Here is a 14405-nt window from a genome sequence, read left to right as displayed (position 1 = left end):
GATTACAGGCATGTGCCACTACGCCCAGCTAATTTTTCTATTTTTAGTAGAGACGGGGTTTCGCCATGTTGGCCAGGTTGGTCTCAAACTCCTGACTTCAGATGATCCACCTGCCTCAGCCTCCCAAAGTGCTGGGATTACAGGCATGAGCCACCGCGCCCTGCCTCTCCATCCATTAGATATCTGCCTCCAGGTAAGATTCAGCCCAGAGCTGGGGCTGAGTATCAGAAGGCGCTGTATTCTGGGGATTGGTGGGGCGTGTGCCCTGGACACTCTCTGCTTGGCCTGGCTCTTGGGCCTGTAGCTCACACCTGGCTGTGGTGGTGACATGGTGCTTGGCCTGATGGCAAATGTGATCGATCTGGTTTGGCCCCTGGCTCTTGGTGCCTCCCTCGGCCTTGGCCCTGGGCTGCAGCTTGACTCCGTTCTAGTTTGGCTGTGATGGCTCGGACTGTCTGGGTTCCCTACCAGCAGGAGGGAGTGCGGTAAAAGCAAACACAAGTCCTGATACCTCAGTGGCAGTTGCCTCAGACACTTTTGGGAAGTCAAATGTAAACACACAAATCAATAAAAAACAAAAACATTGTGTCTGCCAACAGCCATTAACCCTTTGGCCAGTGATGGGTGGGAAATGGGGTATCTGGGTTCTGGTCTGCACTGGCTTCTGGCTTTTGGCAAGGCCTTGAGTGGGCCCCCCAGCTCTCTGGGTCTCACATGGAAAAATGGGCTAAAAAGAAATCCAAGGCCGAGCACGGTAACTCAGGCCTATAATCACAACATGTTGGGGGTGGGTGTGGCGGCTCACTCCTGTAATCCCAGCACCTTGGGAGGCCGAGGCGGGTGGATCACAAGGTCAGGAGACCAAGACCATCCTGGCTAACACAGTGAAACCCCGTCTCTACTAAAAATACAAAAATTAGCCGGGCGTGGTGGCGGGCGCCTGTAGTTCCAGCTACTCGGGAGGCTGAGGCAGGAGAATGGCGTGAACCCGGGAGGTGGAGCTTGCAGTGAGCCGAGATTGCGCCACTGCACTCCAGTCTGGGCGACAGAGTGAGGCTCCGTCTCAAAAAAAAAAACCCAAACAAACAAACAAACAAACAAAAACACTTTGGGAGACCGAGGCAGGAAGATTGCTTAAAGCCCAGGAGTTCGAGACCAGCTATCCAGGCAACATAACCAGATCGTGTCTCTACAAACAATTTAAAAATTAGCCAGATGCAGTGGCCTGTCCCTGTAGTCCCAGCTACTTAGCAAGCTGAGGTGGGAAGATCCTGTGATCTCATGACTGCACTTTAGTCTGGGCAACAGAGCAAGACTTTGTCAAAAAAAAAAAAAAAAGAAAGAAAGAAAAAAAGGAAGGAAGGAAGGAAAGAAAGAGAGAGAGAAAGGAAGGAAGGAAGAAAGGGAGAGGCTAGGCGCGGTGGCTCACACCTGTAATCCCAGCACTTTGGGAGGCCAAGGTGGGTGGATCACCTGAGGTTGGGAGTTCGAGACCAACCTGACCAACATGGAGAAAACCCGCCTCTACTAAATATACAAAAATTAGCCGGGCATGGTTGCGCATGCCTGTAATCCCAGCTATTCGGGCGGCTGAGGTAGGAGCATCGCTGGAACCTGGGAGGCAGAGGTTGCAGTGAGCTGAGATCGAGCCACTGCACTCCAGCCTAGGCAACAGAGTGAGACTCTTAAAAAAAAAAAAAAAAAAAAAAAAATATATATATATATATATATATATATATATTTATTTATATGACAAAACCAAATGCATACGTGCAGCTATGAAAGAAATAAGCTCTGAGATATATTGTTAAGCGAATAAAGCAAAAATACAAAGATACATGTAAACACACACTCATAGAGCTTGTATTTGCACGGCCTATGTTTCTGGAAGAAGACACAGAAACTGGTACCAGTGGCTTCCTCTGTGGAAGGGAAATTGGGTATGTGGGGTCTGGTGAGAGAATTTTCACCATACACTCATTCCCATATGTATGTCTCATCTATTGTAAATAAACAAATAATTAAATGTTTTGCAAAGAAGAAGGGAATTATCAACAATTTTCAAAATGTGTGTTTTCAAAACTAACTTCAATCTAAATCTAATTGAAACCTAGGCTGGGCATGGTGGCTAACGCCTATAGTCCCAGCACTTTAGGAGGCAGAGGTGGGAGGATCACTTGAGCCCAGGAGTTCAAAACCAGCCTGCACAACACAGCGAGACCTCATTCTCCACAAAAATCATTTTTGGAACCTGGGAGGCAGAGGTTGCAATGAGCCGAGATCACGCCACAGCACTTCAACCTGGACAACAGAGCAAGACTGTCTCAAAAAAAAAAAAAAAAAGAAATCTGGCTGGGCCTAGGCCAAGCTAACTATGGGAGGAATTTAGTTTATAGTTTAACGTTGAAAAAGGATGACAGCAGTCCCTTCTCAGAAGTGACCCCTCTGGGGACTAAAACCACCTTTGTAAGACTAATAAAAGGCCACAATGATAGGATTATGGGAGGGGCATGAATTCCACTAAAATGCAGGCATAGTTAAATGATAACCAGCCGTTCTTCTGTAATTCCCTGATGCTCAGGAGTCATGTAGCCAGAGTTCACAAGATCTGTAACTTCCCCAGTTGCTTCTGTAGACAACATCACTATTTTCAAAACCTAAGATTGGTCTTTTTCAGATATTTTTCAGACATTTGCATGTGGGCAGACCAAAGGAAGCCGCCTGGATTGTGACTTATACCAAGGAGCTGACTCACCCCATCCTGATGAGATGGGATAGTTCCCTTGACCCCCCTCACGGGCAGGAACTGGAATGGCTCTTTTAACTCAGCCCACCGCTGACCACTCCTCGTGGGAGGGGGCACGTGAGCGAGTGAGTGCAGTAAGGAGCGAACAAATGCCGGAACCAGCCAGTCACTCCTTTCTGGTGGGAGCAGGCTGTGTGCAGCCCCGCAGCAGCGTCCAAGAGTGTTACGACCGATGCTTTTTCAGCTCTGCCATCCAGGAACAGCCAAGTACCAACCAGCTCAGCGGAGGGTCAAGGTGGCAGCCCCTACCCGCTCAGCACCCAGGTTCTGTCCATCCAGCATCCAGGAAGAATCAGGCCACTTGAATGTCTGAAGTTAGCCGCGTCTATCTGTAGTCTCCGACGCTCAGATGCTTCTCTGCTCGCCACTCAGCTGCTTGTATCCTCAATACTTAGCTGCTTGTGTTGCTCTGCCAGCTGAAGTCTTTTATGGGCACAGGATGGGGCGGAGCAGGCCAAAAAGGCAACATTTGGGTGGGAAAACGGGGTCAGCTGTTTTCATTTAGGGCTAGAGTTCCAGGATCAAGGGTGGGGTTTACCTGGGAGCCCAGCTCTTCTGTATCACTGTGACCCCCCACCCAGAAACTGACTCAGTGCGGAGAAGACAGTTTGGACACTTCTATTATTTCATACCCAGCCAGCAGCGCCCCTTCCCTAGCCCCCAACACCACATTATTCTTAAAAACCCTAACTTCCAAGTTCTTGGGGAGGTGGATTTGAGAAAAATCTCCTATCCTTCCACTTGGCTGACTCATGATAAACTCTTTCTCTGCTGCAACACCACTGTCTCAGTGAATTGACTTTATCTGTGCAGCAGACAAGAAGAATCTGTTAGGCTGTAACACTGGGACAAGTAGGACTGAGGCCTCCACCTCTGCCCTTGTCTGTGGCTGAATTGTTAGGCTTTTCAGTTGAAATCAACAAAAAGCATCCCTAGACCTAAACAGAAAAGGAGTTTATTGGAACGTCACAGGTACCTCCCAGAACTATCAGGAAGGCAGGATAACCAGGCTCAGGAAACAAGCTGGGTCAAGGCAACTACAGCATGAACAGGGGCAAAGCTCACTGTAGAGCTGGTCTGGTGAGGACATAGCCTCCTCAGGCCCTGCAGGACAAACACTCATGCCAGCACGGCCAGCACCACTGGCCCTGGATGCTGGAGTCCGCTGCCACCCCAGGATTGAGGATCTTGTTATTTCCTTGTTGGCCTCACTTGCCTTCAAACCAAAGTCTGAGGGGAGTTGGTTCCCCAGCTTATCCTTGGTCACAGGTTCCCGATCAGCTGCAAGGGATGCTGGGAATGTACAGTTCCGGCTTTGGGGCCCCTGCAGAAGGTGGAAGCCTCTACCCGCCTGCAAACATGCATACGGCTTGTAGGGACCAAGGGAAACTTCCCCTTCGCCCTCTGAAGGTTTGCTGAAAAATCAACTCACAAAAGGTAGATTAATTGGAGAAAAGGCGTATAAATGTTATTAAAGTGTACTTGGGGGAGAACCACAGAATGATTGCCCACCTCCCAGTGTGGTTGTGAAGCTTACATACCCTACTGGCAAAACAGGTTATGGGAGGAGGGAGAAGAGGAGTTCTGTTGAGGGGACTACTAGGAAGAATGAATGGATCGGGGAACGGAGATGAACTTGTACATTATTTTGTGAAAGAGTTTTTTCAGGTGAGGTTACATTCTTGGTTTACAGAGAAGAGAAGAAAAAAACAATTGTTACTTCTGGTGGGTCTGGATTTTAGGCCGATAAAGGAACTTCACTTTGGGAAAGATGGTGGTGAGCAGGCAAGGTCAGAGAGATCTTGCGGCTCCTTGAGTTCTGTGTGTCAAAGCACCATATGCTGGTCTGAGTGCATTGGTGTTTACAACTAATTGATCACAACCGGTTACAGATTTCTTTGTACCTTCTCCACTCCCACTGCTTCACTGACCAGCCTTAAAAAATAAAAAATAGGCCAGGCGCGGTGGCTCATGCCTGTAATCCCAGCATTTTGGGAGGCTGGGGTGGGCGGATCACGAGGTCAGGAGATAAGAGACCATCCTGGCTAACACAGTGAAACCCCGTCTCTACTAAAAATGCAAAAAATTAGCCGGGTGTGGTGGCGGGCGCCTGTAGTCCCAGCTACTCTGGAGGCTGAGACAGGAGAATGGCGTGAACCCAGGAGGCGGAGCTTGCAGTGAGCTGAGATCGCACCACTGCACACCAGCCTGGGCGACAGAGCGAGACTCCGTCTCAAAAACAAAAAAAGACAGGGTTTTGCCATGTTGGCCAGGCTGGTCTCAAACTCCTAACCTCAACTGATCTGCCTACCTCAGCCTCCCAAACTGCTGGGATTATAGGCGTGAGCCACAGAGTCGGCCCTAGGCCATCTTAATTACAATAGTTTGAAAATAAATCTTGGCCGGGTGTGGTGGCTCATGCCTGTAATCCCAGCACTTTGGGAGGCCGAGGCAGGCAGATCACCTGAGGTCAGGAGTTCAAGACCAGCCTGACCAACACGGTAAAACCCCATCTCTACTAAAAATACAAAGTTAACCGGGCATGATGGCGCATGCCTGTAATCCCAGCTACTCAGGAGGCTGAGGCAGGAGAATGGCGTGAACCTGGGAGGCAGAGGTTGCGGTGAGCCGAGGTTGTGCCACTGCATTCCAGCCTGGGCAACAAGAATGAAACTCCATCTCCAAAAAAAAAAAAAAGAGAGAATGAGAGATTTCTGCATATGGTTGGAGGCTCCTACTACCTTAGTATAAAGGCACTGATAAAACAAAAACAAAACACATTTCACAGAAGGAAGCAGCAAGAAAGCTTGCCTGTATTAACCTTGGATGGAAGAAAAAAAAATCTCCCCTGAGAATTTGAAATCAGTCCTCCCATAGTTTGTGCTCAAATGAACATATGCTGCGTGAGTAGCCCAAGAAAATGCCAACGACAGAATCGAAAGGGTTTCTGGGTTGGTGGCACACCCAGGGGCCAAGCAGAAGCAAATACAAATTCTCTCTAGAGGAAAGTCACTTCAATCAAAGACTCAAAATTCTCCCACAGATAAAGTTCCAAGGAAAAAGAAAGCAGTTTATGACCCGGCGCGGTGGCTCACGCCTGTAATCCCAGCACTTTGGGAGGCTGAGGCGGGTGAGTCACGAGGTCAGGAGTTCGAGATCAGCTTGGCTAACACGGTGAAACCCCGTCTCTACTAAAAAAAAATACAAAAAATTAGCTAAGCGTAGTGGCACGTGCCTATAGTCCCAGCTACTCGGGAGGCTGAGGCAGGAGAATCGCTTGAACCTGGGACAGGGAGGTTGCAGTGAGCTGAGATCACACCACTGCACTCCAGCCTGGGTGACAGAGTGAGACTCTGTATCAAAAAAAAAAAAAAAAAAAAAAAAAGGGCGGGCGTGGTGGCTCACGCCCGTAATCCCAGCACTTTGGGAGGCCGAGGCGAGCAGATCACCTGAGGTCAGGAGTTCGAGACCATCCTGGCTAACACGGCGAAACCCTGTCTCTACTAAAAATACAAAAAAATTAGCTGGGCATGGTGGCACATGCCTGTAGTCCCAGCTACTCGGGAGTCTAAGGCAGGAGAATCGCTTGAACCCGGGAGACGGAGGTTGCAGTGAGCCGAGATGGTGCCACTGCACTCCAGCCTGGGCGACAGAGTGAGATTCCATGTCCAAAAAAAAAAAAAACTTGTTAAGAACAGTGAGAGGCTGGAACTTGCTCCGTAAGTTACTCTCTATCCACACCCCACACTCCCACTAAGCTCTGTCTGATGGAAGTTCCAGTCTGCCCAGGTGTGAGCAAAAAGATAGGGCTGCCTCTCCCCTCAACTCCCAATCAGGGAATACAGTGGACAGAGGCTTCACCCCACCTATGGTGGGCCAAGAATACTGGAACCCTGATTGTCCTCACCCCAGCTCACTCATTGGGCAGAGGCTCTATGCCAAGGAAAGGCAAGCTGAGAAGATCATGGCTACCACCCCTGCCCAACATCCAGAGTAGTGGCTCAGAAATTTTGCCTAGGGGGAGAGGCAGTGCATAAGAACGTGAAGATCTGACAGTGTCTACAAACAAACTGACTTTATTTGAAATAGAGTGGAGGGAAGATCAAGTCTATGGACGCACGCTAAAATAATGGAGATTTTGGTGATAAACAAATAAGAGAAGGCTGGTAGAATTGGCCCTTGAACAACATGGATTTAAACTGCACAAGTCCACTTATATGTGGATTTTTTTTTTTTTTTTTTGAGCTGGAGTCTCGCTCTGTCACCCAGGCTAGAGTGCAGTGGCGCAATCTTGGCTCATTGTAACCTCCACCTCCCGAGTTCAAGCGATTCTCCTGCCTTAGCTTCCCAAGTAGCTGGGATTACAGGTGCACACCACCATGCCCGACTAATTTTTTTTGTATTTTTAGTAGAGACGGGGCTTCACCGTGTGGGCCATGGTGGTCTTGATCTTCTGACCTTGTGATCTGCCCACCTTGGCTTCCCAAAGTGCTGAGATTACAGGCGTAAGCCACTGTGCCCAGCTATATGTGGATTTTCTTCTGCCTCTGCCACCCTAAGACAGCAAGATCAACCCCTCTTCTTCCTCCTCTTCCTCCTCAGCCTACTCAATGTGAAGATATGGATGAAGATCTTTGTGATGATCCACTTGCGCTTGGTGAATAGTAAATATATTTTCACTTTCTTATGATACCAGTGGGCTGGAGGAGATCGCCAGATGGCGGTGGGACCTTGACCCCAGCCAGTGTCCAGGCTCTTGACATCGTTGAATTCTAGGATGAGTCAGAAAATAGTGAAACTAAGGAGATGTACCTGCTCAAGCAAGGGGAATACAGGCGTATTCACACGGAGTCTTGAGTAACCAAGTTGGGGACTGCTACCTTTACGGATTTCTTTAACCAAGGGGTGCAATATTCATGAAAATTTCAAAAAAAGGTGGAGATTTCTCAGAAATGTGGCGCTACACATTTGTATACGAAATACGGGTGTTCTCAGAACTGTCCCAGCGCTGGTGGGTGTGTGTTTAGCATGTTAATGAGCATGTAATGAGGTCCTAGGTGAAACCTAGGTTGAACCCAGCACCATGTTGGGCCCAGTCTGTCTTAGCCAGTTTGGCCCACACCCTGTTTTTTAGGGTCTTATCAGCCCACAGCCCCTAGTCATGTGAAAATGCTGCCTGGAATTTTTTTTTTTTTTTTTTTGAGACGGAGTCTCCCTCTGTCACTCAGGCTGGAGTGCAGTGGCGCAATCTTGGCTCACTGCAACCTCTGCCTCCCAGGTTCAAGCAATTCCCTGCCTCAGCCTCCCGAGTAGCTGGGATTACAGGCTTCCACCACCACACCCGGCTAATTTTTGTATTTTTGTATTTTTTTTTTTAGTAGAGACAGGGTTTCACCATCTTGGCCAGGCTGGTCTTGAACCCCTGACCCTGTGATCCGTCTGCCTTGGACTCCCAAAGTGCTGGGATTACAGGTGTCAGCCACCATGCCCAGCCTGCCTGAAATTTTTATTCTCCTGTGACCACCTTGTATTATTCCTGTCTCTTTTATATTTTTATCTTTTTAATTATACGCACACACACACACACACACCTGCACACACACACGCACACACACATATCTATGTTTATGTTTGTTTAAGAGACAGGGTCTCACTATGTTACCAAAGCTGGTGTCAAACTTCTGGGCTCAAACAATCCTCCTGCCTTAGCCTCTTGAATAGCTGGGATTATAAACATGTACTGTTGTTCCTAGACCAAACTGAGGGTTGGGCTGCTATTTCTTGTGGCCCAGTAATGAGATGCAGATGAACTGGGGAGGAATAGAGTTTTTATTTGTGCAACCGGTTACAGGGAGATGGTCTGGAAATTATCACCAGACAAACTCAAAATTATAAAGTTTTCCAGAGCTTATATACCTTCTGAGCTATATGTCTATGTGTAAGTGTGCATTCCTCTAAAGACATACGTGATTAACTTCTTTATATATATATTTTTTGAGACACAGTTTCACTCTGTCGCCCAGGCTGGAGTGCAGTGGCACGATCTTGGCTCACTGCAACCTCCACCTCCTGGGTTCAAGGAATTCTCCTGCCTCAGCCTCCCGAGCAGCTGGGACTACAGGCATGTGCCACCATGCCCAGCTAATTTGTTTTGTATTTTTAGTAGAGACGGGGTTTTGCCATGTTGGTCAGGCTGGTCTCGAACTCCTGACCTCAAATGATTCGCCCATCTCAGCCTCCCAAAGTGCTGGGATTACAGGCATGAGCCACTGTGCCGAGCTGGTTAACTTCTTTTAATCTATAACTAAGGTCTGAGTCCTGAAGACCTTCCTCTGGAGCCTCAGTAAATTTACTTAATCTAAATGGGTCCAGGTGCTGGGGTGATTACCCTTATCTTGTTTCCTGCTAAATCATGGAGGTTTGGGGAGTTCCTTCAGACCCCCAGTAAACTTGTTTGTGGAGGCCTGGAGAGTTTCTTCAGACCCACAGTAAAATTTATTGAATCCTAAATGGGTCTTGTTAAGAATTCCTTCGTTATTTTGTCATGCTTTAAGGCCCAGGAAAGGCCTAGGCAAAACTCTTGGTGGGCTTTTCTTACGTTCCAGCCTTTGTATAAAGGCACTGGCTTTTAATATTTAACTTAACTACTCAATCAGTACTGAAACAGTTGCTATGGAGGCCTGCATTAGTAAGACCTGGCCTGCCACAGTACCACCACGCCCAGCCCTTATGATTTTATCTGTCACACAGGCTGGAGCTTGGTGGCACCAACATATCCTACTGCAGCCTTGAACTCCTGGACTCAAGTGGTCCTCCTGCTTCAGCCTTCAGAGTAGCTGGGACTACAGGCGCATGACACCATGCCTGGCAAATTTTTAAATTATTTATAGAGATGGGGTCTTGCTATGTTGCCTAGGCTGGTCTCTAACTCCTGGGCTTGAGCGATCCTCCAACCTTGACCTCCCAAAGTGTTGGGATTACAGGCATGAACTACCATGCCTACCCCATGATTTTCTTAATAGCATTTTCTTTTCTCTAGCTTACTTAATTTTAACAATATAGTATATATATAAAACATAAAAAATACATGTTAGTCTTCTACTATGTAATTCGTAAGGCTTCCAGTCAATAGGAAGCTATTAGTAGTTAAGTTTTTGGGGAGTCAAAAATTTTTTTTCTTTTTCTTTGCTTTTTTAAAATTGAGATAGGGTCTCACCGGGCGCGGTGGCTCACACCTGTAATCCCAGCACTTTGGGAAGCTGAGGCGGGTAGATCACCTGAGGTCAGGAGTTTAAGACCAGCCTGACCAACACGGAGAAACCCTGCCTCTATTAAAAGTACAAAATTAGCCAGGCATTGTGACGCATGCCTCTAATTCCAGCTACTTGGGAGGCTGAGGCAGGAGAATCACTTGAACCCGGGAGGCCGAGGTTGTGGTGACCCAAGATCGTGCCATTGCACTCTAGCCTGGGCAATAAGAGTGAAACGCCATCTCAAAAAAAAAAAAAAAAAGAGAGACAGGGTCTCACTCTGTCACCCAGGCTGGAGTGCAGCAATGGAAACATGGCTCACTGCAGCCTTGACCTCCTTGGCTCAAGCAATCTTCCTGCCTCAGTCTCCTGAGTAGTTGGGACCACAGGTGCATGCCACCATGCTGAGCTAATTTTGTATTTTCATAGAGACGGAGTCGTGCCTTGTTGCCCAGGCTGGACTCAAACTCCTGAGATCAGGCAGTGCACCTGCCTCAGCCTCCCAAAGTGCTGGGATTATAGGCACGGGCCACCACGCACAGCCTTTTTCTTTGTTTGTTTGTGTTTTGTTTGCTTTTTTTTTTTTTGAAAAGGGGTCTCACTCTGTTGCCCAGGCTAGAGTGCAGTGGCGTGATCTCAGCTCACCACAACCTCTGCCTCCTGGGTTCAAGCAATTCTCGTGCTTCAGCCTCCCGAGTAAGTGGGACTACAGGCATGCGCCACCATGCCTGGCTAATTTTTGTATTTTTAGTAGAGACAGGGTTTCACTATGTTGGCCAGGCTGGTCTGGAACTCCTGACCTCGTGATCCACCCACCTTGCCCTCCCAAAGTGCTGGGATTACAAGCAGGAGCCACCGCACCCAGTTCTTTGTTTTTTTCATTCTGCTTTTTTTTTTTTTTTTTTTTTTTGCGGGGCGGGGGAGAGGGAATAAAAAAGTATACATGCGGTTTTGACTCTGCAGAGGGGTCAGTGTCTCTAATCCTTAGAGACACTGGTTCTTCAAGGGTCAACTCTAGTTTCTCTTAAGAGCAACAAGTTAAGCCATAAGCCAGCTAGATCACCAGAGGGAACTTAACTGATTGAGTGGTTAAGTTAAATATTAAAAGCCAGTGCCTTTTATATTTAAAGATATAAAATAGGGGAAAGATCCTAAGAAGAGCACTCTTGAGGTCAGAACAAAACTCAAAGACTTGCCTCAAAAACCATCCCTGCCAGAAATTAATTGAATCAGACTGTGGAGGAATTTATGCCTCAGGACATTGTCAAAAATAATAGAGCAATCAGCTTGCAGTTAGTGGAGCTTAACAGCTGGGTGTGGGGAAAGAGACAAAGAGAGCCCTGCTAAAACCACTATTATCTTACTGTGACTACAGGTACACTCAAGGCTACATCTTCTGAAGAATGACACCAAAGACTTCACAATATGGGGGAAATAGACTTCACTAAAATAATCTAGTCAAGTCACTAAGCAAACAAGCAAAAAACAACAGAAACAAGCCCTACAGAGAGGAAAGAGGAATTAGAGTTGCTAATATATTATTATCATTATTTTGAGATGAAGTCTCACTCTGTTGCCCAAGTTGGAGTGCAGTGATGCAATCTCAGCTCACTGCAACCTCAGCCTCCTGGATTTCAGTGATTCTCTTGCCTCAGCTTCCCGAGTAGCTGGGATTACAGGTGCGCCACCACGCCTGGATAATTTTTGTATTTTTAGTAGAGATGAGGTTTCCCCTTGTTGGCCAGGCTGGTTTTTAACTCCTGACCTCAGGTGATCTGTCCACCGTGGCCTCCCAAAGTGCTGGGATTACAGGTGTGAGCCACCATGCCCAGCCTAATATATTATTTTACATATCCAGTTTTAGGCCAAAAAAATTATTAAGATTTGCAAAGAAAAAAGAAAGCGTGACATATACACAGGAGCAAAAAAGTAGGCAACAAAAACTGCCCGTGAGAGAGCCCAGACATTTGATTTAATGGAAAAGATTTCAAAGCACTTATTATAAATATGTTCAAATAACTAAGGAAACCATGCTTCAAGAAGTAATGAAGACTAGGCACAGTGGCTCATGCCTACAATCCCAGCACTTTGGGAGGTTGAGGCAGGAGGATCACTTGAGCCCAGGAGTTTGAGAACAGCCTGGTCAACATAATGAGACTCTGTCTCAAAATAATAATAATAATAATAATTAATTAATAAAAATTAAAATTGGCTGGGTGCAGTGGCTCATGCCTGTAATCCCAGCAATTTGGGAGACTGAGGCAGGCAGATCACCTGAGGTCAGGAGTTCGAGACCAGTCTGGCCAACATGGCAAAACCCCATCTCTACTAAAATACAAAAATTATCCGGGTGTGGTGGTGCACGCCTGTAATCCCAGCTACTCGAGAGGCTGAGGTGGGAGGATTGCTTGAACCCAGAAGGTGGAGGTTGCAGTGAGCTGAGATCACACCACCGCACTCCAGCCTGGGCGACAGAGTGAGACTGTCTCCAAACAAAACAAAACAAAACAAAACGAAACAAAAAAACCCAGAAATTCTATGTGTGAAGTATGAACATATTGACTAAATTCAAAAGGGTGTTATATGGTTTTTCTGTAAGTTGAGCATTGAAATAAAAGCACAACAAGACACTCATAAGGCACTAATCTGCTCTTTAACAAAATTTGTAAAGGGTTATAAAAGGTTTTTGCTCTTTTAAATTTCTGAGTCATTTTAGCAAAATAAATAACTTGTGGTAATTTGGAATTCTATTTCATAACATCAAGTGTTTTAAACCTCTAACATATTTAACAGGCTTCCAGAAATTAAACTTCCATTACAAAATTGCCTTTCCTGATGGCTGGCTTTTGGATGCTACAGAGGGCCCCTGCAGTATCCAAAAGAGAGGTAAACAGAATTATTTGACAAGTTTAGTTACATGGGATTGCCAAAATGGTGTCCAATCTTCTTTAGGTTATATTCTGGTGAATAATACTAATGTATGTTCCAAAATTGTGTGGGATTTCTAAAATTCTAATGTCTAAAGTATATGCTATCAGTCATAATTAAGGTTGTTAAGTTATTGTAAACCACAGAGATAACCAAAGTTCTTTGTCAATTGTGTTTCTAACTGTAACTACCCTGGACATTTTGTTATTCACAGACAATTGTTGTCTTGTTTTGATCCTTTTCATAAGCTACAGGACTCTGCAGCCATAAAAAGAATGGGTTCATGTCCTCTCCAGGGACATGGATGAAGCTGGAAACCATCATTGTCAGCAAACTAACACAGGAACAGAAAACCAAACACCACATGTTCTTACTCATAAGTGAGAGTTGAACAATGAGAACACATGGACACAGGGAGGGGAACATCACACACTAAGGCCTGTCAGGGAGTGGGGGACAAGGGGAGGGAGAGCATTAGGACAAATACCTAATGCATGTGGGGCTTAAAACCTAGATGATAGGCTGGGTACGGTGGCTCACGCCTGTAATCCCTGCACTTTGGGGGGCCGAGGCGAGCAGATCACCTGAGGTCAGGAGTTCATGACCAGGCTGACCAACATGGAGAAACCCCGTCTCTACTAAAAGTACAAAATTAGCCGGGTATGGTGGCACATGCCTGGAATCCCAGCTACTTGGGAGGCTGAGGCAGGAGAATCACTTGAACCCGGGAGGTGGAGCTTGTGGTGAGCCAAGATCACATGCCATTGCACTCCAGCATGGGCAACAAGAGCGAAATTCCGTCTCTCTCTCTCTCTCTCTCTCACACACACACACACACACACACACACACAACAAAAAACAAAAAACCTAGATGACAGGTTGATAGGTGTAGCAAACCACCATGGCACATGTATACCTATGTAACAAACCTGCATGTTCTGCACATGTATCCAAGAACTTAAAGCAAAATTAAAAAAAAAAATAAGCTATAGGACTCTGACAAGTATGCTCAAATATCAGTTTCTGATAACTTTGGAGATTGTGACATTGGCACACAGGAAAAATGTACAGGACTCATGAAGAGCTGAAATGTTCATGAATATCAAGCAAAACAAGAGTTAACTGAATGGACTGAACTAATAGAAAACTGAAGTAATCTTCTGGACTTTTGCTTGGAACATTGCTGATCCTTGTTTCATTTTTCAGAGTCGAGGAAAATTATTAGGAATTATTTACAGCCTTTAATAATTGAGTAGGGTGGCCAGGCGCGGTGGCTCACGCCTGTAGTCCCAGCACTTTGGGAGGCCAAGGCGGGTGGATCACGAGGTCAGGAGATCGAGACCATCCTGGCTAACACGGTGAAACCGTGTCTCTACTAAAAATACAAAAAATTATCAGGGTGTGGTGGCAGGCGCCTGTAG

The sequence above is a fragment of the Homo sapiens genome, chromosome 17 (assembly GCF_000001405.40).
Source record: "Homo sapiens chromosome 17, GRCh38.p14 Primary Assembly".
Lineage (NCBI taxonomy): Eukaryota > Metazoa > Chordata > Mammalia > Primates > Hominidae > Homo > Homo sapiens.
Note: the sequence above shows the minus strand (reverse complement) of the source record.